Source organism: Homo sapiens, chromosome 9 (genome assembly GCF_000001405.40).
Source record: "Homo sapiens chromosome 9, GRCh38.p14 Primary Assembly".
NCBI lineage: Eukaryota > Metazoa > Chordata > Mammalia > Primates > Hominidae > Homo > Homo sapiens.
In genome coordinates this window covers 68,241,707-68,265,221 of record NC_000009.12, presented here as the reverse complement: position 1 = coordinate 68,265,221, position 23,515 = coordinate 68,241,707, and the positions used below count along the sequence as shown (strand labels likewise).

At 35.4% G+C, this 23,515-nt stretch overlaps 1 protein-coding gene across 7 annotated transcripts in view; it reads right to left on the bottom strand.

The window, feature by feature from the left end:
* ZNG1C (Zn regulated GTPase metalloprotein activator 1C) overlaps nucleotides 1–23,239 on the bottom strand; it is a 58,053-nt gene extending 34,814 nt beyond the window's left edge. For 4 of the 7 annotated variants that reach the window (NM_201453.4, NM_001378113.1, NM_001378114.1 and 1 more), the window contains exons 1-7: nucleotides 23,037–23,239; nucleotides 19,923–20,009; nucleotides 17,513–17,609; nucleotides 16,325–16,416; nucleotides 8,242–8,301; nucleotides 6,653–6,690; nucleotides 708–754 (exon numbers count right to left, since the gene is read on the bottom strand). In NM_201453.4, the coding sequence (NP_958861.2) occupies nucleotides 708–754; nucleotides 6,653–6,690; nucleotides 8,242–8,301; nucleotides 16,325–16,416; nucleotides 17,513–17,609; nucleotides 19,923–20,009; nucleotides 23,037–23,190 (575 nt within the window). In that variant the 5' untranslated portion in view covers nucleotides 23,191–23,239. The remainder of the gene's footprint in view (nucleotides 1–707; nucleotides 755–6,652; nucleotides 6,691–8,241; nucleotides 8,302–16,324; nucleotides 16,417–17,512; nucleotides 17,610–19,922; nucleotides 20,010–23,036) is intronic. The other 3 variants (NM_001291821.2, NM_001378116.1, NM_001378115.1) reach the window with 2 other exon arrangements.
* Nucleotides 23,240–23,515: the final 276 nt, after the last annotated feature.

Sequence of the window (23,515 nt, the reverse complement as noted above, 5' to 3'; positions counted from 1 at the left end):
GGAAAAAAGTTACAAAAATACTTAAGTTCCGCCAGGCGCAGTGGATTCATGCCTGTAATCCCAGCACTTTGGGAGGCCGAGGCGGGTGGATCACCTGAGGTCAGGAGCTCGAGACCAGCCTGGCCAACATGGTGAAACCCCATCTCTACTAAAATAAAATAAAATAAAATAAAATAAATAAAATAAAAAAATGCAAAAATTAGCTGGGCATGGTGGCGGGTGCCTGTAATCCCAGCTACTTGGGAGGCTGAGGCAGGAGAATCGCTTGAACCTGGGAGGCAGAGGTTGCAGTGAGCCTGCACTTCAGCCTGGGTGACAGAGTGAGATTCTGTCTCAAAAAATAATAATAATAATTATTATTATACATATATATATATATATATATATATATATATATATAATCTTCAATCCCAAAGAAATTGTATAACAAGAAAATATTTTTAAATGTTAATATTTCCCGAGTTCCTCAAAATTACAGAACTCCTGTGTTCAGCATTCACTTTATGCTACGACAAAAATGACTTCAAGTAAAAGTTTAGTTATGAGATCATTATAAATAGATAGCAATAATTCAACTAAGGGAAAAAAAGAAAACAAATTTTCCTTGACTATGTTTTAAAATTTCTTAGTTTGTTTTTGGTTTTCATCTTAGTGATTTTTCTCTTTACGATTAGCCAGCAATCAATATATACTTTAAATATGAATACCTAGTAGCTTCATTGATAAGGCCATCAGGTTTCTCTTCTGTTAAATGCTAAACAAAAAAAAGTTTGAATAAAGTTACTATAATACAATAAAAAATCTAATGTCAACACAAAGGATTTTACTTTAGAGACATTTTCTTGCATTTAATAAAAACTTCAACATGTTCTGTTACTGAATACACAAATCCAAAACTAACTTTTCTAGCTGAAAGCATTTTTCTTCCCCATTTGCAATTTTTTTCTACAAGTGAACCTGTGGGGTTTTATAGGGGGAGGAAGAGGGCTTAGGATTTCATACTCCTGACCTTTTCTTTTACTTAAAAGGAAAACCCCTTTGATTCACATAATGTCATAAAAACATAGAAGATTACAGTTCAGATTTTAGGTATTTTCCTTCTTACAAAACTGTTCTGGTTCTAAATATTCATTATTACTTATTTTAAAAAAAGGATAACCACTGAAATATAGTTTCTTAGAATCTAATATACTTCCCTTCACACCAAACCCCCATATTAGAATCTAAAATACTTCCCTACACCCCAGCCCACAATCATGCACCACGTGAACTCAGTACTAGGCCTTTCAAACACCCTAGAAACAAATAAGTGGTGGGAAGGCTGATTCAGCCCTGATTCTAGCCTAAAAGCAGTTTATCATTTAGAAACCCATACTTGCTAATCTGGCCTCTCAGTGCAACTGTTTATTTTACTGACCTCTCCAGAGTCAGGCTAACTCCAAAAAATATTTTGACACTGACTTAGAGCCCAAGTGGTAGTTTCCATCTCTCTGGAGGCAAGTTTTGTTGTCTGTTTTTTTTTTTCCCCCTCATAATCCTGTTTACATCCCTAACGTCATCAACATCACAAGCTTCTTCTCTGGGAAATTACACTTTTACCCTCATTACCTCAAACCTCAATAGAGGTTCCCTGTCACAATAAAAAGCTGGCTACTGAGGTTTAGAGGCAACTAGATTATAGTAATACTCTATATTTGAAGCCAACTTTACAAATGAATTAAATCCTTGAATCTAACTTTATAAATTATATACATTTTTCTCATTTAGCTTTCATAATAATTATGGGAGATGGCTATTTTCATTTATAAAGGAAGAAACTAAATCTAACACCCTCATCATCACAGGATACTATATTTTATATGCAATCACAGGGACTTTTTTTTTTAATTGAACACACACCCATCAAGTAAAATGAACATAATTTTAAAGCCTTTGTGAAATCTTTTATGCCACATAAAATCAGCCTGTGTACAATGCTACACAAATGTCAATAACCATATATCAGAGCCAAACCAGTTTCATAATTCATGGGGAGATGATCATTAGGGGTATCTGAATAGTTTGGAACCTCAGAGCAAGCAGGTAATAATTTTATTTAACAAGCTTGATTAGGTCTATAGAAGAAACATTTTTTCCTTCTAAAAGTTCAGCAAATTCTATTTTGAGGAAAACAAAACTGAAATAAAATCATGGCAATGATACTTCTACTTCAGGCAAAATCTTGTTCAATTCAACTGCAGACCCACTCTGCAATTATGGAAGTCACAGAACTTGACAAGTATTGTATCAAAAATCATTCCATGCCAAAAGATCAAGTTTAATATTTTTTTCATAATTCATCTTGGCCTGAGGCTACAACAAGTCCTATTGTTATATACTCTGCCTCTAGAGAATGAGGCTGCTAACAGACCTTGGAATGGTGCCTGGCACAAAGGCTCAAGAAATATTTGTTGAATGAATTGTAATTAACACCTCCTGTTGTGGGGATACATAAAAGATGTTACATGAAAAATGCCATCTAACATGCAGCAACAAATCTCTTCCCATTAAGCAGTAAATCTACTTAACAATGATATATTTTTGGCAAGGCATCTGCCTCTGAATGATCCTATAGTACTGAAAATTCTTTTTAAACTGAAATATTTTTCAAGATATTATATTATTGACCTTATGAAAGCTTTTTTAACATATGAAATTGGGGTTATTTGGCTATGAGTTTGTGAGGCATAAAAATGATATGACAGAAGAATTACAGATTTGTTTTTGCATTTCCATGCCTAAATGTAACTAATACAATGTTAGTTTCACAAGGTAATGTGCAATGTTTTAAATGCATTTACCTCTCCAAAATATTAGAATTCTTCACTCAAAGCTAACAGTGGTAGACTAACGTTTTACTACTTCCAGGCAGTCAGAAAGTATCAAATATAAAAATAAATGAAAATCACCCCAAATGAGAGCCTGCCAATATTTACAGCTGTATTAAAATTATATGTAATCATATACAATTATAGCAGAAGAGATAAATGTCCTCTTCTATGCCCATAGGAAAGCTATACAAATATTTAAAAAAATAAGTGCATCTTAACATTTATTTTCTTTAGATATCAGCCCTGCATTTCCCTCATGTGACTTCCTACCTTCCCAAATCAAACTCTGCAAAAAGTATAAAATCAATGTCTTCTATTCAAAAGAACATTCTCCAATAATACATTATATACCATTTGGTCATTAAGTCAGATGACTTTCATTTATAAAATAAAACAAAATGGAAAGTTTGGCATTCTATTCCACCTGTATAAGTAAATGAAGAAAAAATTTTTGCAAAATATTTTTTAAATATTTTATATTACATAGATGTCCAAAGTATTCCTTATCTCTGCTTAACAACTATGGCTTTTGCTTATATATCAAAAAAGACAAAAATAATTTTGATACTAATTAATCCAACATATTCAAAAGGCTAAGGATCAAAACCCCAATTTAACTTACCACAAGAAACAAAGGAAATTAAAAGGGAGTGGTGTGAGATGTTGGTCAAAGAATACAAAGTTTGTTATACAAGATGCATAAGTCATGGAGAGCTAATTACAGCATGATGACTGTAGTTAATTCTATTGTATACTTGAATCTGCTAAAACATAGATCTTAATTGTTCTTACCACCCCCTCTCAAAAAAATAGCAATGTGAGGTGATGGATAGGTTAACTAGCTCGATTGTTTGATAATGTAATTCACACACTGTATACCTTAAATATATATAGTTTTTACTTGTCAATTATACCTCAATAAAGCTGGGGGGTTAGAGAGAGAAACAAAGGAACTCTCTGAAATAACACCACTGTAGACCTAACTTCATGAAGGGCTATAGGGTGTCCTTTTCTGCAGAAATAAAGAAAGAAGCCGGACCGAAAAAAGAGAAAGAAAGAAAAGAAAAAACTATCTTAAAACCCACTGGCTATGAAAGAACACTGCTGTTGACCAGAGTGGAAATAAATCTAGTGTCAAAGATGTCTGGTGTCATTTTTAAAAAGCAGCAGCAGGAACTATTTCTTTCAAATGGATTGGTTACAGATGTAACACTATTTTAGTTTTTAAAAAATTATTGCATAATGTCAGTCTATTTATTGTTCTGGCCTTTTCCAAGCTAACTGTTTTCTGACTGAATTGTTTCAACAGATTGTGCAATATAACAGAGGAACCAAGAAGAAACCTCTCACTTGACCTTCTCTGGGTAACTTCATTCATTGCTTCTATTGCATTAAATGCTGTCACATTTGTAGAACTGAAAAGAACAATGTCAGTAGCCCGGGTGTCAAGTCCTCAGAATAGAGAGCTGTCATTTTAAGTTGTCCAATTCTTTGCCTATGATTAAAAAATGAATATTTCAGATCAATGGGTGACAATCCCATTAGAGTGATACCCCATGATATCAATTACCACTTCAGTTTCAATTTGGCTGGCTGGCCACAGGGTACCATTTCTCAGCTTTACTTGTCATGGGCTGGCTCTGTGAAGCATGACATTCTTAAATTGCTGCCCATTATCCAAGTGTCATTACTTGTACTGCCTCAGAATTCTCTGAATCACAAGCAGCTACTGAGGTCAAGCTTTGCAACCAGAGGAATTGGACAAGTTGGAAAATTCTTTATATCAAGGCAAAGTTATTTATCTGGCATCCGACTTAGAAAATTTAAAGTTTCCATTATCCTGACAGTGTGTCAGTTTTGTGTAGGTATACTGATTTAATAATTTAAGAGGTTTTATCAAGGTAGCAGAAGGTTAAACGTTTACTGTGTTTGCATTATTCAGAATGTTGCTTTGTTTTTTTGGCCTCCGTCATGCTGATAATAGATTCTATTTAACTCTTCTCCATACCCAACTATACATATAAAATTTTTCCTATAATCATAAAATACATAAACAGTTTGACTTTTAGCATGGCATTTTCAGTCTATCAAAATAAAAAAAAAACAAAATGTCTTAGCAGTTATCTGTCACATAGGTATATCAAATTTTGTAATAAATTTATGGAAGAGGTAGATTCAAACATGCCTATAATAAACATTCAAAATGAATAATTTGGGGCTTTTTTGCTACCTCCATAAGCATTTTGCAAGAAATATGATTTCCAACAGTCATTGGAATTTTTCTGCGTGAAACTGTAATACTGTATTTGGGATCATTCTTTGATTCTTAAATTATATTCATAAATTCATAAATTGAGATTTTAAACTCTAAAAAAGGAGTTTTCTTCCAAACTTTTCAAATTAGGGCACTCTATCAACGAGGGAGAGAAGGCCCAGTGAAGAGGTATTGGTAGCTATTTGACAAACCTGACATATCCCCTTAGAGCATAATTTCAGCAAAGATTTGGGAAAAAAAAGCAAACTTAAACATTAACAAGTTCAGGCAGGGCGTGGTGGCTCATGCCTGTAATCCCAGCACTTTGGGAGGCCGAGGCAAGTGGATCACTTGAGGTCAGGAGTTCATGACCAGGCTGGTCAACATGGTAAAATCCTGTCTCTACTAAAAATACAAAATTAGCTGGGCATGGTGGTGTGCACCTGTAATCCCAGATACTCAGGAGGCTGAGACAAGGGAATCGCTTGAAGCTGGGAGGTGGAGGTTGCAGTGAGCCAAGATGGTGCCACTGCACTCCAGCCTGGGCAACAGAGTGAGACTCTGTCTCAAAAAAAAAAAAAAAATTAACACGTTCAGATATGAGGTTGGATACAAAACAGACACTAATTTTTAAACACTGAATTTAAACTTCTAAGAACTTACTGCTTTGGGCCCTATCCATATGCTCAGATTGGGAACGGGTCAGTGGGTGGGATGATTTCATTCTCTTCTGCCTTTAGTGGTATTTCACCTGGGAAGTTGAGAAACATCATTTTACTGTATGTAACAACATACTTTTAAAGATCTTACTAAATGCATTTTATAAATTAAACCTCATTTAAATGCATTCTAGGACCTTAGAAGTTAACAAAAACATTCATAGCAGGATGTCTTTTACACTTGATCTTAGCCAAAAGACCAAGAAGCGATGCAAGATGCCTTTTAATGGAGAGAGTCTTCTTACTAATCCTATGTGTATATCCTGATTTTCTTCAATATGTACTTTTTAAATTTTAAGTTCCAGGGTACATGCTCACGATGTGCAGGTTTGTTACATAGGTAAACGGGTGCCATGGTGGTTTCCTGCACCTATTAACCCATCACCTAGGTCTTCAATATTTTTTAAAAACTCATTTCCAGTGTGTGTTTAATAGTAATTTAACAAGAAAAATAAGATCTCAGATGCTTTATCAAGCTCAGCTTCTTCTATGGAACAGAAAAACTTAGCAATATTGGGGTTGAATCCTTGTGAAGAGCTATACATACCAAACTCTATCCTAACCCCATATGCTTATTACAAATTATAATTCCAAATTTTATCACCAAATCAAACTCAGAGTAATAGAAAAGAAATATTTAACACAAACTAATAATTAAAACACAAATTTCACCTATTGTTCAGGATATCTTTTTGAGAAAGGTTTTTGTTAAAGAAAATTTCAGATACAAACATAAAGAAAATTAAACAATCAATCCCCATATTCCCAGCTCTCAATAATGAGCCACTCATAGCAATCTTTCAACTTACTTTTAATCCATATTTTGAATCCACAATAGTTATGATACCTACAAAGGAAAAAACATTTTAATCACTTTTTAAAAAGAATGCTTATTAATACTTGTGCAACCATACTTCAGAATGAAAATTAAAACTAACCTATTTCAGTTCACAAATACTACTCAATAAAACAATGTACTGTTTTTTTCTCTTGCCAGTGCTGCCATTTAATTAAATTCCAGTAATAAGTCAATGCATTTCCTGAGTGGCTAGCACTATTTTAAGGCACTAGAGAAGATATAAAACAAATAAAAATTTTAAATTAAATAAATAAGAAAATAAGATTTCCTTGGCACTGAAAAAGCTTACAATCCAAAATATAAGTCAAATTTCATAACATAGTCAAATGTGATAAGTACATAAGACAGGTTATTTCTAGTTTATTTTCACATAATCAAAATCAAGACTTTTCTTAAGATTTAAATTATTGCCTAAAGAATGAGACATCTTAAGGTATCATTCCTAACATCTCTCACCAAATCCAAATCCAAATCCAGCTCATAAATGTTTTACATAACATATGCCTAAGTTTCCAAACTACCAATTCATTTTGCAATCTCTGAATATATGCTGATAACAAAAGAATGAGTTTAATTATGCTAAGGAATTCAACCAGTTACCCGCCACATATATTAGAGCTCAATGATGGGGCCCAGCTTAATAATTCTTAAATTTCTTAATGATTATTACTTTTGAAAAAGTAAGAAAATTTCGACTGGTTTTTAAAAAGGTGAAAAAGGGAAAGAGAAAGGGAGAAAACATAGTCGCTTAACTAAGAAAGTTTCTAATATATTTTAAATGAAGGCATATCATTGCCCAAAAGTGTTCAGGTAAATAAAGTAAGGGAGGAGTGTTTAATTCTTATCTTCAAGAGAAAATAAAAGCAAAAATATGATCCTCATATTGCCTGGAGGATTAAAATAAAAGGCTCTAACATTATATTAAGGGCATAAATCAAACAACAGAGGATACAGAAAACCTACAAAGCATTTTTTTTTTTAAAGAAAACCTTAGTGGAAGCACTAAATTGGAAGTTGAGTGACATCGATTTCCACCACTGTTTGGGGTTTTTTAATCTATATGAACAAAGATTTCATCATTAAACTAAAGTGTGAAAAGAACAACAATGCAAGGAATTAAAGTTATAATATGAATGAACAACAATAAGCTTAACCATAAAGATTTTACTAAAAAACAAAAGAGGCAGGGTGTGGTGGCTCACGCCTGTAATCCCAGCACTTTGGGAGGCCGAGGCTGGCGGATCACCTGAAGTCAGGGGTTCAAGACCAGTCAGGCCAACATGGCGAAACCCCGTCTCTACTAAAAATCCAAAAATTAGCCAGGTACGATGGTGCACGCCTGTAGTCCCAGCTACTCGGGAGGCTGAGGCAGGAGAATCACTTGAACCCAGGAGGTAAAGATTGCAGTGAGCCGAGATCATGCCACTGCACTCCATGCACTCCAGTCTGGGCAACAAAGTGAGACTCTGTCTCAGAAAAAAAAAAAAAAAACAAAAAAAAAAACCAAGAAAGATAAAAGAAAACTGTTTTTTAACTTACCATCAAGGTAAATATCACTCCCTAATTCAGCATCAACCCAAAACATAGAAGCCACTGCACCTGAAAATATATAATATTCATCAAATAAAAATATTTCTTCACACTGAGAAACATGATTCTATCCATGTTTTAATTTGCCCTGATAAAATTAACAGGTAAACACATATATCTTCTTATGGAAATTATAGTGATAGAAGCTTTAACTATTTATAGCAAAAGGGAATTATAGTGATAGAACCTTTTACTATTTATACCCATTCCATTTCCATCTCTCGTTATTTCCTTTAAAAAAGACCAATTCTAACCACATATAAACAAAACATCATTCTTCTACCGATGCCATAATAATTTAATTAACAGATATTATCAAACAATTTGAGCAGTATGGCTTTGTGCACATCAGACTTATTTTTATTTTCTCACCTCTTTAATATGATAATCATTCAATCATAAATAGTGAATTATCACTCTAAAGGAAAAGGAAAACAAAACATAGATAATTCCAAAATCACTTGCCCAAAAAAAATTTACTTGTAATCTGTGTAGAACTAGAAGTAAAATTATATACTCTATGGCATTACTAATTATTCCTCACACTATTTATTTAGGACTGTATAAAACCTGGGTCTTAGGAAAAATTTTTCCTAAATAATAAATTAAAACTTGCTTTTGACAGAAATTGGTTCAGTACCAAACCACATACCCTGATTAGTATGCCACAACGCAAGAAAAAGAAAACTGACAGCAAGGAAAGTATTTGATTTTTGAAAGCATCACAGGCCCAGTTAGTGACAGGGCTGTCTAAAAGAATGAGTGTAGGAGAAAAACAAGGATAATCAAACTCATTCCAACGTCTAAAGCTGTCCACCTGCTCTGACAAGATGTGGTCCCCCAAGCATCACTCTGTGTCAACAATGAAATACCGGTCAGCTGTTTACAGTGATTACTCATGCAAGATATAGCAAGGGCCACAAGATCTAATGGTTTCCTGATACCTATTGATTTTTTTCCCAAAAACGTAATAGTTTTCCAATTTGACTCAAATAGGATTTGTGAGTAACAGGGGCTGAATCAATGTCCGTTCTTTTCAAGGAAATTACTTTACCATGACAATTATTTAACTTAGAACTGGAGAGTGTCAGTCTCCAAAATGGGAAACAACTGAATTGCCAATAAGAATTCTGTTCACTTTCTTGGCTAAAACATGATTTTAATTAATGAGGGGGAAAATTAAATCTACTGTATCACTACTCCAAACAATAAGTCATTTAAAAAAGCATGAATTTTTTCACTCAGTAAAATATCTAACATACATAAATCATTTTGTAATTTTTAAAAATTCATTGATTTTTAGTCTAATAAATAGTTTACAAATCCTACTGTTAATATTTGCCTCTTAAGTTGAAATGTAAGAGTATATTAATGCTTTATTCTAAAACTGGTATTTATCTTTGATATAATACTTGCCAGACTACATGAGAAAGATCTATTTAAAATTTGGATGTAGGTATTTAGGAGGAGTAAAGATGAATGAACAAAATTGATTAGTGGCTCTCAAACCAGGGTGCTTTTCTCCCCAGGGAATATTTGGCAATGTCTGAAGATGTTTTTGGTTGTCTTAACTAGGGGAATGCTACTGGCATCTAGTGGGTAGAAGCCAGGGATGTTGTTAAATATCCTACTCTGCACAGGGCAACCCCCTCACAACAAATAATTATCCAACCCAAAATGTTATTTGTGCTGACACTGAGAAAACCTGAACTACATTTTAGAATCTCCCTTCTTCAAAATCTAATAAAACAAAAAATAAAAATAAAAAATAAAACAAAAAGGCCAACATTTTATTAGCAGCAACCAAATATAAAAGGGCCTGCCATAAATTTTGAAGACTGATAGTCAAAATAAGAAACAAAGTTATATGTGATTGATGGTCATTCCCAACTCTACCCCTACCTCCAATAAGAGGTTGTAGGGAAATAGTTTACAAAATCCTAAACACTTACCAGAAATACACTCCAAAATGGCAAAAAGTAGAGCCGAGGAATGAATAAGCAACAGAGGGAAAAGTCAACAAAAAAATTTCAAGAGTGAGTTTTAACCATCTCCATGCTTTGGGAAGGAGAAGGTCAGGTCACATTCTAGGGCTCAGAACAAAGAGAAATGAGAGGTCTGAGGTCGAATGATGTCCCCATACAAGGCAAAGGAATTTTATTCATAAGCAGTTGGGCAGACCCAAGAGTGAAATACTTGGTACTTCAAGAGAGCAGAGCCTAAAAGCCACATTGCCCCATTTGGCTCTCTGAATCACCACTTTTCCCTTCTCTTTCCCTCCACTCCAACAATATACAGCTTTCAAACTAGGGCTCAGGAGAAAAACAAACTTGGGTAAGGAGAGTGGAGTATTAAAAATATTTCCCATCAGCACCACATAGAAGTTCTCCCATATCAAGAAGAAACTTGTATGCATATGTATTACAGCCTGACAAAAAGAAATACACACATACAGGGAATAAAAAGCAAGAAAGAACACAAAATGAAGAAATGAATAGGGCATACAAGTGGCAAAGAACCCATTCTGGAAGGATACATAACCCAATAAAAACTAAAGAAAATTCTCAACAACTTCATCATAATGAAGAACTTGAAAACAATACAACCTTATAATAAACAAGCTCAAAAGCAAGAAGCAGAATAAGATGAAAATGCAGTTTGTAGTGCTAAAGAAACTTAGAGCCTATATAACACAATGACTTAACCAATTAATTCATTTAAAATATCAAAAACAGGACAGATACTGGAGAAAACAGAATTATTGACAAAAAGAAAGGCTTCAGATGATCACAGTAAATGCAAAGGTAAAAGACAAATCAAAGCAATTAGAATACATACGAAGAACAAAAGAAAATTCAGTATTAAAAAAACTGGTGTCATGAAGTAGAGGATCTAATAATTTGACCAAAAAAAAGTATTCATGGTAACAAACAAGGAAAATGTTCTTAGAAGAACTAAGGGCATATTATAATTTAGGGAAAAATGATTATAAGTGACACTTAGATATACCTTGTTTATATTACTGAATTTCAAAAATAAAGAAGAAAACTCTCAGGCATTTTAGATTAAAAAAAAAAAAGTGCCTTCAAGGAGGGAGGGAGAAAAATCAGACTTTTCTACAGTAACACTAGATGTCCCAAAATAATAAAACAGTGACCACAAAGTTCTAATGAAAGTGTTCCCAAACAAGTTATTTTTCAGGAACGAAAGCAATAGACAGACATTCTCAAGCATTAAAGAAAACAGCAAGCATTGAAACTCAGAGACTATAATACTCACAAATTCTTCCTAATAAAAGGAGAAAACATTGGACAAAGAAATCCAGCCAATCAAACACTAGGAGATTATGGAACAACATTTACAAAGTTGAGGGGGAAAAAAGTGTGACTGATAAATTTTATACCGAGCCAAGTAATCCTTCAAGTAATATAAAAACAAAAGACAAATATTTTGAATCAATGAAGTGTATAAGAACCCAAAGAATGCATGCAGTACCTGTAACTTGAAAAGACTGCCTGACAATGAAATTCAATCAGGAGATGGACTAACTCGGGAATGGAGAAGCAACAGTACTGGTAATGAGCACCAAAACTATTAAAACATAGAACTAAAAGAATTATGACAGAACCATGACAACATAAAGAATATGATCAACATGAAACTAGGCCAATTAATATCCTACAATGGCCTCTAAGTGTTCAAGTGAAAGGAACAGTCACCTGTTTCTCACTTTAAATCAAGAGCTAGAAATGATTATGCTTAGTGAGAAAGTTATGTTGAAAGCCAAGATACGCCAAAAGCTAGGTCTCTTGAGCCAGTTAGCTAAGTTGTGAATGCAAAGGAAAAGTTCTTGAAGGAAATTAAAAGTGCTACTCCAGTAAACACACAAATGATAATAAAACAGCCTTATTGCTGATATGAAGTGGTCTGGATAGATGATCAAACAAGCCACAATGTTCCCTTAAGCCAAAGCCTAATTCAGAGCAACCCTAACTCTCTTCAGTTCTATGAAGGCTGAGAGAGGTGAGGAAGCTAGAGAAGAAAAGTTGGAAGGTAGCAGAGGTTGGTTCACAAGATTTAAAGAAAGAAGCCATCTCCATAACATAAAAGTGCAAGGGAAAGCAGCAAATGCTGATATAGAAGCTGTAGTAAACTACCTAGAAGATGTAGCTAACATCATTCATGAAAGTAGCTACACTAAGCAACAGACTTATTTTTTATTTATTTATTTATTTATTTTGAGATGGAGTCTCGCTCTGTCACCCAGGCTGGAGTGCAATGTGCAATCTCAGCTCACTGCCACCTCCGCCTCCCGGGTTCAAGCCATTCTCCTGCCTCAGCCTCCCAAGTAACTGGGATTACAGGCTCCCACCACCAAGCCAGGCTAATTTTTGGTATTTTTAGTCGAGATGGGGTTTCACTATGTTGGCCAGGCTGGTCTTAAACTCCTGAACTCGTGATCTGCCCATCTCGGCCTCCCAAAGTGCTGAGATTACAGGCATGAGCCACCGAGCCCGGCCAGCAACAGATTTTTAATGGAGATGAAATGGCCTCCTTTTGGAAGAAGATGCCATTTAGGACTTTCATAGCTATAGAGAAGTCAATGCCTGGCTTCAAAGATTCAAAGGACAGGCTGACTCTCTTGTTAGAGGCTAAAGCAGCTGGTGACTTCAAGTTGAAGCCAATAATCATTTACCATCCTGAAAATTCTAGGGCCATTAAGAATTATGCTAAATCTCCTCTGCCTGTTTTCTATAAATAATAAAGCCTAGATGACAGCACATCTGTTTACAGCATGGTTTATTTTAAGCCCACCATTGAGATCTACTGCTTAGAAAAAAAAAGATTCCTTCAAAATATTATTGCTCATTGACAACACACCTGATCACCCAAGAGCTGTGATGGAGATGTACAAGGAGATTAATGTTGTTTTCATGCCTGCTAACACAACATCCATTCTGCAGCCCACTGATCAAGGAGTAACTTTGACTTTTAAGTCTTATTTAAGAAATATATTTCATAAGGCTATAGCTACCATAGATAGTGATTCCTCTGATGGATCTAGGCAAAGTAAATTGAAAACCTTCTGGAAAGGATTCATCATTCTAGATGCCATTAAGAACATTCGTGATTCATGGGAGATCAAAGTATCAACATGAATAGGAGTTTGAAAGATGATTCCAGCCCTCACAGATGACTTTGAGGGATTTCAGACTTCAACGGAGGAAATAACTGCAGATATGGTGGAAACAGTAAGAGAACTAGAATTAGAAGGGGAGTCTGAAGATGTGACTCAATTCCTGCAATCTCATAAGAAAACTTTAACTAATGAGAAGTTGTTTCTTATGGACGGGAAAAGAACGTGGTTTCTTGAGATGGAATCTACTCCTGGTGAAGATGCTATGAACACTGTCAAAATGACAACAAAGGATTTAAAATATGACAGAAGCTTAATTGATAAAGCAGGGTTTGAGAGGACTGACTCCAATTTTGAAAGAAGTCATACTGTGGGTAAAATGCTATCAAATAGCATCATGTGCTATAGAGACATCTTTTATGAAAGGGAGAGTCAACTAATGCAGCAAACTTCATTATTATCTTATGAAATTGCGATAGCCACCCCAACCTTCAGTAACTACTACCCTGATTGGTCAGCACCCATCAACATTGTGGCAAGACCCTCTACCAGCAAAAAGATTATGACTTGCTGAAAGCTGAGATGATCGTTAGCATTTTTTAGCAATAAATATTTTTAATTAAGGTATGTATGTTTTTTAGACAATTCTATTACACATTTTATAGACTACAGTATAGTATAAACACAGCTTTTTTTTTTTTTTTTTTTTTTTAAGAAATGGGGTCTCATGCTGTCATCCAGGCTGGAGTGCGGTGGTGCAATCATGACTCACTGCAGCCTCAAACTCCTGAGCTCAAGTGATCCAAGTAGCTGGGACTACAGGCCTGTCACATCACACCCGGCCAAAACGCATAACTTTTATATGCAATGGGAAACAAAAAAATGTGTGTGACTCACTCTATTGTGATATTCAGTTTACTGCAGTGATATGGAACTAAGCCCACAATATCCCTGCGGTATGGCTGTACAGTATAAGAATCACCTGAAGGGCTTATTAAAAACAGCTTGCTTGACCCCCTCCCTTAGAGATTCCGATTCAGTAGATCTGGGTTGGTCAAGAATTTGCATTTCTAACAAGCTCCCAGCTGAGGCTGAGGCTGCCATTCAACATACTACCAAGTAGCACTGGCATAGAGAGATCCCTGGAATAAAATTTACCTACTTGTGTGTGTGTGTATGAATGTGTGTGTGTGTGTGTGCGTGTGCATGTGCGTGTGTGTGTATACAGTCTTGCTCTGTTGCCTGGGCTGGAGTGCAGTGGCGTGATCTCGGCTCACCATAACCTCCGCCTCCCAGCTTTCAAGCGATTCTCATGCCTTAGCCTCCTGAGTAGCTGGGATTATGGGGTGCGCCACAACGCCTGGCTAGTTTTTGAATTTTCAGTAGAGACTGGATTTCACCATGTTGGCTAGGCTGGTCTTGAACTCCTGGCCTCAAGGGATCCACCTGCCTCAGCCTCCCAAAGTGCTGGGATTACAGACATGAGCCACCATGCCCAGCCCTTACTTGTATATCACAATAGTGAGATGATTACTTTTCAACTTTCTTCTTTGTATTTTTTAGGTATTTAAATTTTTTTACAATGAATGTTCCATCTTTACCCAAACAATAAAATCTTTATTGTAAAGAAAGTTAGAAGCAAGAAACATTAACATTTTTTATAACTACAATTTGTATAAAAGCTTTCTCTGTGATCTTTAGTTTTTCTTTCTTCCTCTGAAAAGCTGAATAGTGTTTAATTAAACTCTCAAAAGTATCAAGTTTTTGTCTATAAAATGGCAAAACTGGCTATGATGAAATAAACTGATATTTGCTATTTCTAATAAAAGCATACAATATATTCTTTCTTACCAGATTCAAATAATATTTAACGCCAACATATTAGTCCAAGTCCTATCATCAGTCAGATTTATCAGAAAGGTATGAAAACCCATGCCTACTATAAGGACCAAAATAGCCTAATTCAATACTACTTTGAAAACATGGGGATGATGTTACTACGTAATTGTTTTAAGTACAATAACCACTGATCACATTTGAACTCTCAGGATACTTCAATATTTCTTTTGGACAACTATGACCTGTTTAGTAAATTACCCCCAAATACTTTAATATAGTTTTACAAATCGCCCCAATGCCAGAGACCCAGATCAAAAAGAAAATAATGGTATGGGTCAGATTCACAGAATAAGCACTAACTTTTATGCAAACTGAAAATAAAGATTTTATCTAAAAGTTATTTGGGGAAAATAAGCAGACTTTATCAAGAATTAGAGCTTGGTAAGAAGGTAACAGAAACCCATTGTGAGAAACAGGTTGACTCTGTGTAGCTTTCCATAGTAGAGTTTAGAGTTTCTTGTCATGATTACCTTATCAATGCAGTATAATAACTACTTACACAGCACTTACATTGTATTAGGTATTATAAGTAATCTACAGATGATTTAAAGTATATGGGAGGATGTGCATAGGTTATAGGCAAATACTACACCATTTTATGTAAGGGACTTGAACATTAATAGATTTTGGTATCCTCAGAGGTTCTGGAACTAATACGCCATGGATGCCAAGGGACAACTGTACTTAGAAGTAGAACGTCTCTGCTCTTCCTACATGTCCTTATTTTTAACAACTTCTGTTCTTACAAATAATCCTAAATCAATCAATAAAACTTCCAATTCTATTAACAGCTTAAAAGCACCAAGAAATACTCTGATCATTCATTCAACTGCCAAAGAAAATGACAAACGAGTACTTTTCCTCTTTTAAACCAAAAAAAGTTTTTGGTTTAATACTAACAAAAGCTTTAATACTCATTTTAGATATTCCTCTAATACATCTATTTACAATATATCACAGAACTATATTCTGGTTATTAATAATCTCACTTCTTACCAGGGTCTGCTAATCCAGTGGTCTCTAACAGTATGTCATCAAATTTCCCCTTCTTTTGCATCAAATTCTCAATAGCTCTAAGGCCATTGTCCCTGGAGAATACCAAAACATAATTTACAGTTAATTACCTAAATATTTTGAAGTGATTATTATAAACACTTTAAAATGTATTCAACAACCCGAGACAAAAGTATCCTTAGGAATGTGAAAATTTAACTCACTTCTAACCTTCTAACAAAATGTCTGTCCCATATTTACCAGTGAGAAAACAATAGATGCATATATATAATAGGTAAAAAGAAATCATATACATAATAATACTTTATTAAAATTAAAAGCAGAGGAAACTTTATCTGACCAAGTATCTTTTTATAGCTTTATGAAATTTTTAAAAACCAACATACAAAATAATGATAAAATTTATTAACTATAGTAGTTTAATATAATAGCTAAAGGGACACTGATATTAAACACCATATAATTCTATTTTACATTAGGATGCAAGGTTTTAAATTCCTTTTTTCTTATTTTATCAAAAGTGAAGGAAAATCCTTAATAGATTACATTTTGGTTGTTCAAGAAAGTCTGTTATAATTTTATCCTTGCCAAAACATTTGACACAAAGTCAAATACCTAAGGGAGTAAATGATGCCGAAGAGATTTAATTCACTAGAATACACAAAATTAACAATACAAGTAGTCATTTTTATAATTCATTCAACAAATATTTGAGTGCTACTATGTGTTGGGTAACTCTTCTAGGGTCTATGGTAGACTAGTGATCACTGTCCTTGGAAACTTAACTACTAGAACATAATGTAAGGTTTTTCTTTTTTGATAGTCATTTATTTTTTATAAGGTTGAACACTTAGAAGTATGACCAATGACAGATTAAATTCAGAATAATCATTTTTTACATATGAGACTTTCATGCACTAGAGATTAAATAAGCCCTGACATCAAAAGCAATAAAAACTCAATAAAAGGACCAAAACATTAGAGCAGATAGAAAAGACAGCAAGAAACACTTTAAGAAAATGCTTCCTAATAAGTTTATTTTCTATTTGTTTGAAAATACAATGAAGCAAACTGTGTAAATTCAGTTAAATTACTCAAGAAAATTAAAGCTGGAAATATAATCAATAAACATTTCTAGTAAACCATGTACACAGTAAACACATTCCTCACTTCACTGAACAGCAGAGGCAACCGTTTCTAAGTTCCAGCCACTCTTCATAGAGCTCTCCACCTTGGCTGACAGCTAAGGATTTCTCCAGCGCACTTCCTAGAATAAATAACAAACAGCACTCTTTAGCTTATGTCCATTAGCCAACAAAAAACAAAGATGAGGATAACTCAATAATGGAGATCTTAAAGCAGAAACTGCATTTTATAACTTATATTCTTTCACTTTATTCATGCAGCCTTGATACCTAAATTACAGTACACTACATTATTTTAGCTTTTATTTAAGATGTCTTAAGCCCTGAAAAAGACACATCCTAAACTGATAAACATACCTACTTCCTCCTTAGGCCTCTTACTTGGCCACCCCCATTTCTTAATGAAGGCATTTTTTTCTTGTCCAGGGTAAACTTTCTAAATCGACTAGTATGTTTTATATACTGGATTCTGTATGCCCTTCAACCTCTTAAGAGACTGCCTTATCTTTTTCTTTTCATTCTTCTTCTAAATTGTTTCTGTTAGACAAACTGCTGAATATTCCCAATGAGTAAAAACCCTAGTTCATCCTGAGGAAGGTTTTTGGCCAGTGTACCATGTGCTCATTTAAAAATTAAACTTATAGGGAGGCCAAGGCGGGCGGATAACGAGGTCAGGAGATCGAGACCACCCTCGCTAACACAATGAAACCTCATCTCTACTAAAATTACAAAAAATTAGCCAGGTGTGGTAGCGGGCGCCTGTAGTCCCAGCTACTCAGGCGGCTGAGGCAGGAGAATGGCGTGAACCCGGGAGGCGGAGGTTGCAGTGACCCGAGACTGTGCCACTGCACTCCAGCCTGGGCAACACAGCGAGACTCCATCTCAAAAAAAAAAAACCTAAACTTTTAGTCAAATTCACATATTTTCCTAGCAATACTTACTTAAGAAAGAATAAACTATATTTGAAATGCTTGTTATCTATAAGAATTATTTTAAATGTTTTACTTTTCCTCTAATAAAGAAATATACCAAACGGTGAAGTTCTAAAAGTCCACTAAGCAAATGAGCTCCCATAAAATCGAGTAGTTTTACACTTACATATTTTTTATATTTCAGCTAGGTATTAATAAAGAGCTTCTAAAGAGGTTGCTACAGAATTCGGACTATATACAGAACATTAATGAAACATGAAGAAAAGTATTGAGAATGCTGTGAAAAATAAAATTGTGAAAATGATCCAGGAAAAAATAAAGAAAATAGTAAGAATAAATGTAATCAGTGTGCAATAGGTTATTTAATAAGATGATGAAAAAAACAGTCTGTTATTAGAAATCTCAGGATTTTTGCCTAAAAAGCACTTTTCTCTTTAGTTTATTAAAATCAGAAATCGAATATAACTGGAATATAACTGGCTTCCCATCCTGTTCATAAAACCTAGCTCTTTTACTTTTTACAACTGAAAAAAATAGTACATTTTAAAAGAAATCGTCTAATAGATATTGTTTTTTGGCTAGAAGTGAGCTTTGATTACAATTCATACTTATGAAGAAAAACTCCTATAAAGATAACAGAAGTATTGTGTCTAGAGCTATTTTTTTTTACTACAGTTTAATATTTGAGTTGAGAAGTTAAGCACACTTATTTTCACAGATAAAATACATGAGGATAAAGACCATATGTTTACTTTCTTTTTAAAATATTGAGTTTTAACTGCATTGCAGATAATAAACATTAAACAAAGTTAACTAATAACAGAAGCATTTTCAAATATTTTTCATGAGTTGCAATAGAGTCCATACAAAACTGCCTTTCTAATTCCTAAAAAAGACATTTTTTGGCCAGGCATGGTGCCTCACGCCTGTAATCCCAGCAACTTTGGGAGGCCGAGGCGGGTGGATCATAAGGCCAGGAGCTCAAGACCATCCTGGCCAACATGGTGAAACCCTGTCTCTACTAAAAATACAAAAATTATCTGGGCATGGTGGCGCATGCCTGTAGTCCCAGCTACTCGGGAGGCTGAGGCAGGAGAATCACTTTAACCCGGGAGACAGAGGTGGCAGTGAGCTGAGATTGCACCACTGCACTCCAGCCTGGCAAGAGAGAGACTCCATCTCAAAAAAAATAAAATAAAATAAAAAATAAACGTTTTTTCATATGTCTAGATTTTTACTTCTGGAGTCATTTATTTCATGTAAAAATGTAGTTTAATTCTGTTAATAAGAATTCCAAAGTTATACAAAATAAAATTTTATTAAAACTAATTTCAGTATCTCAACCCATATAAATCTTAACAGAAATTAATCTAATTTTTCTAAAGCTATCCACATCAATACAATACCTTGCATTTTCATTTTTAAATATGGAATATCAATTCACCAGAGGAATAAACAGTCACACAAAATCTTGCAACATGACATTTATTGAACTTTACTTACCTTCCCCAGATTCATTTAAAATGACCGCTACTCTTTTACTATGTTGCTCTGTCAAAATATAGTTCAGAAGTGTTGTCTTCCCAGCACCTATAAAACATATTTTTTGTAAATAAAAAAATTCAAAATAATTTTAAAGATACAAAAAACATATAAAGAATCCTAACGTTTTTGAGAATTTGCATGCTATTTTTCATATATTATTTTAGTATAGAATATCCTAGAGGATAAGATTAAAGCATCCTTTGAAACCTGTTGCAAAATACTTTATGTAGACATAAAATTTTATAAATATTTACAAACACTCCTACAAGTTGAAACAGTTTCTTCAACCTAGCCTAACCTTCCCTAAAATTGACACACAATCTTTTATTTATAGTGACCTTTTATTTCAACATTAACGAGACGCAACTTCAGGCTGACTATATGGCTACTTATAGTATGCTTTAAACAATCTATAAAAGTTTTTATGAAATGGGGAATAGAGCCAGGTAGTGTCAACAATGAACAGAATGTTCAGTTAAGATAAATTCATAAAGCTATACCAACTTTATCCAGCAGGTGGCATATGAAACCCAATATGTCAATCTCCAGTAGAAAAAAAAGTCTTGTGAACCGTACACACTAAAATTCATAGAGGAAAAAAAGAAAATCCTAACTGCATAGTATTGTAGTTCAATTGTATGACTATATCATTTCTTTATCTTTTTTTTTGTTGGACATTTGGTTTGTTTCCAGTGTTTTACTATTACAGTGCTGCTAAAAACTTTTACATGTAGGCTATACATGTCTTCTGAAATAAAGTTTTCTAGTATATAACTAGATCTTCCTACAACTAGGAAGATTTTACGGAGTATTAGGGTATTAATATCTTTTAGGTCATATTCCTTTCAAAGCTTTTTAAGAGATGAAGGCTTATATTTAGAGTACTTTAGGAAGCTCAACATCACAAAAATATGAAGTATAGTATGGAAGAGAGAGACTTAGGGCAATGAGGAAGATCTTAAAACCAGTCCAAGCCTGAGACAGAGGCCCTGAACATGAGTGTTTCACAGGGCAGTGATGTGAAAACTGAAAGGAAAGGGTGAATGTAAGAAATCTTCTAAGAGAAGATTTACTAGGGCTTTTTAACCATATTATGAAAAAAAAAAACACTTTAAGACATAGTTCATTCATTCAAAGGTTTCTAATACGTTACAGATTTATGCTGGGCCTTGGTGAAAAAGTGAACAAGATAGTCTCTGCCTTCATAGAGCTTAGAAATATTAAGGGAAGGGGGGAATGGAGGGGAATTCAGTGAATAAGGAGGCAATTATGTCACAGGGTGACATATTCAATAGGAGATGCACAAAATGCTATGGAGAACCTAAGAGGGACATCTAGCCAGAGGAGTCACAGTAAAAAAGTACCTATTCCAAGGGGCTAAAACACTTGGCACCTTTGAAGTAACCTTAGTTTATTGTGCGGGGCCAATTTGGCAGGCTGGAAAGGTTGGCAAGATCCAGATCCTACAGGTCCTTGTAATTCATGTTAAGGAATTTGAATTTTAACCCATAGGGACGCCACTGAAAGGTGTGACGCAGTCGGATTGACATTTATAAAGATCATTAAGGCTAACATGCAACGAATAAATTAAAGGGCAGCAAGACTCCAGATTAGTCAGGAGGCTTTTAGAGTATTCCAAATGGTTGGGATCACAGAAGCAGGATTTGGGGGGATGGTAACAGACGAAGTTTCAGACATGTTAAGTTTTAAGTTGTAGGACATCAAAATAGAAATTACACAGGTGTGTAGCTAAAGATGGACAAAGGGGGAAGGAGGAGGGAGCCTTAAAAAGAAGCCAGAGAAGCAGGTGGAAAAATCAGAAGAAAAATGTAATAGAAGCCAAAGGAACAGTGTTTCAAAAAGGGAAAATGGTCAGGGATAGGAGTGAAACTATCCCTAGATTCAGCAACAAGGTTGCTGGTATTAATTCTCACTCCTGAGCTTCAGATCATTTTCTCCAATGATCTACTGACCTACCAGTGAGCAACACGGGAAAGGCCCGAGGGGCACGTTTGAAATACATTGTTTTGGACAAGAAATTTGTTCATCTTCTCAGTAGAGCAGCCTCTGAATAACTGTGGGGAAACGCCAAAAATAAATTCCTTTATAAAATTACTTCCGAGCAAAAAACGGGAATAAACTTACAGTCTACAAAGTTTTTAAAAAAACAAAAGCAGTTATTTCTTATTTTTACATAAAAGGTCACGAAGTGGCCCAAGTCTGTACCTGTCTCTAGCAACAACTAGGAATATTATTTCCCGGAAACAGTATTATTTTATTTACATTTCTTAACTTTTTCCAAACTTCTAATACAGTCATATATTTGTTCTAGCCCTTCTATTTAACTGTAAGGTTTAAAAATATATTTCTCAAACTTTTCCAGTAAGAAACTTCTAGTGTAAGTGCATAAACCGCCCTTCACGAAACTACCAAGTTCACAAACTTGTGGTTTCGAGTATCCCTGTACACTCTAAACGTTCTTAGTTTGAGAAATAGTCTTGGAGGACAGAGATTTTATTCTTACTTCCTACGCAGTGGTTTACAAACAGACCTCAAAAGAAAAGTGTTTAAGATAGGAGCACTTCCTGCCAACTGGCTGGAGGACTTTGGCTCCTGGGGAAGGGGAATCTGCTGACGAAAGCCCCACGTGTCGGGCATTTTACAGACGGGACATCCTTTAATGGCAATAGGTAGGTTGTTCCGGCCCTATTTCACAGGTGACAGGTATTTTTCCATTTTCAGGTGAGGTAGATGAGCGTCAGGAAGGTAAGATAACTTGGTAAGAGGTCACAGAGACAATTAGGGGGGCGTGTCTTAGCTTCAAAGCCTTGTTTCAAAGGCTAACTTTCCATCTCACTTGAGAAATGGGAATCTAACGCAGAGGGGACCGGGCATCATTAACTCCCAAGATGAGAGGTAACCCATACGAGAAGCAAGTGACCCAGCCCCTACCTCAAAGACATTTGCTCTTGATCATGAGGCCCCAATGCCTCAGGAGAAGAGGCACCGGCAGCCCGCAAAATCCCATGACACCAGAGTTCACGGCATTTTGTGACTGGGATGGTTAGTTACCTAAATACCCGGTGATAATTGTGACTGGGATCTTGGCGCCGAGGCCAGACTTTTCCTCCTCCTCGCTTTGCGTCGTCTCAATGGGAACCAATTCAGGACAATCCTCCTCCGCAGGATCCTCTTCCTCATCCACAGATCCAACAGCCGGTAACATTCCGGCCTACAGCACGTCCCTACCTCAGCTGAACCGCTGGGACCAACACGCCGTACCGCAGCCGCGCACGCCCAGCACGCCACTCCCGGCCTGGCCGGGGCCTGACGTCATCACATCGCGACGCTAGCTGATCCCGCCCGGATTACCTGGGCTCTGGACGAGAACTGCCTCGTCCCTTAGCCACACCCCCCGGGGAGGTGGGCTCTCCCCGACGACAGCTGGACACGCCCCTGGGCGTGTTCTGTGAACCTGAGCGACGCTGCGGAGAGTCCTTAGGGCGCACTAACCACCTGTCTGAAGGTGTCACTGGCGCCTAGAGCCTTAA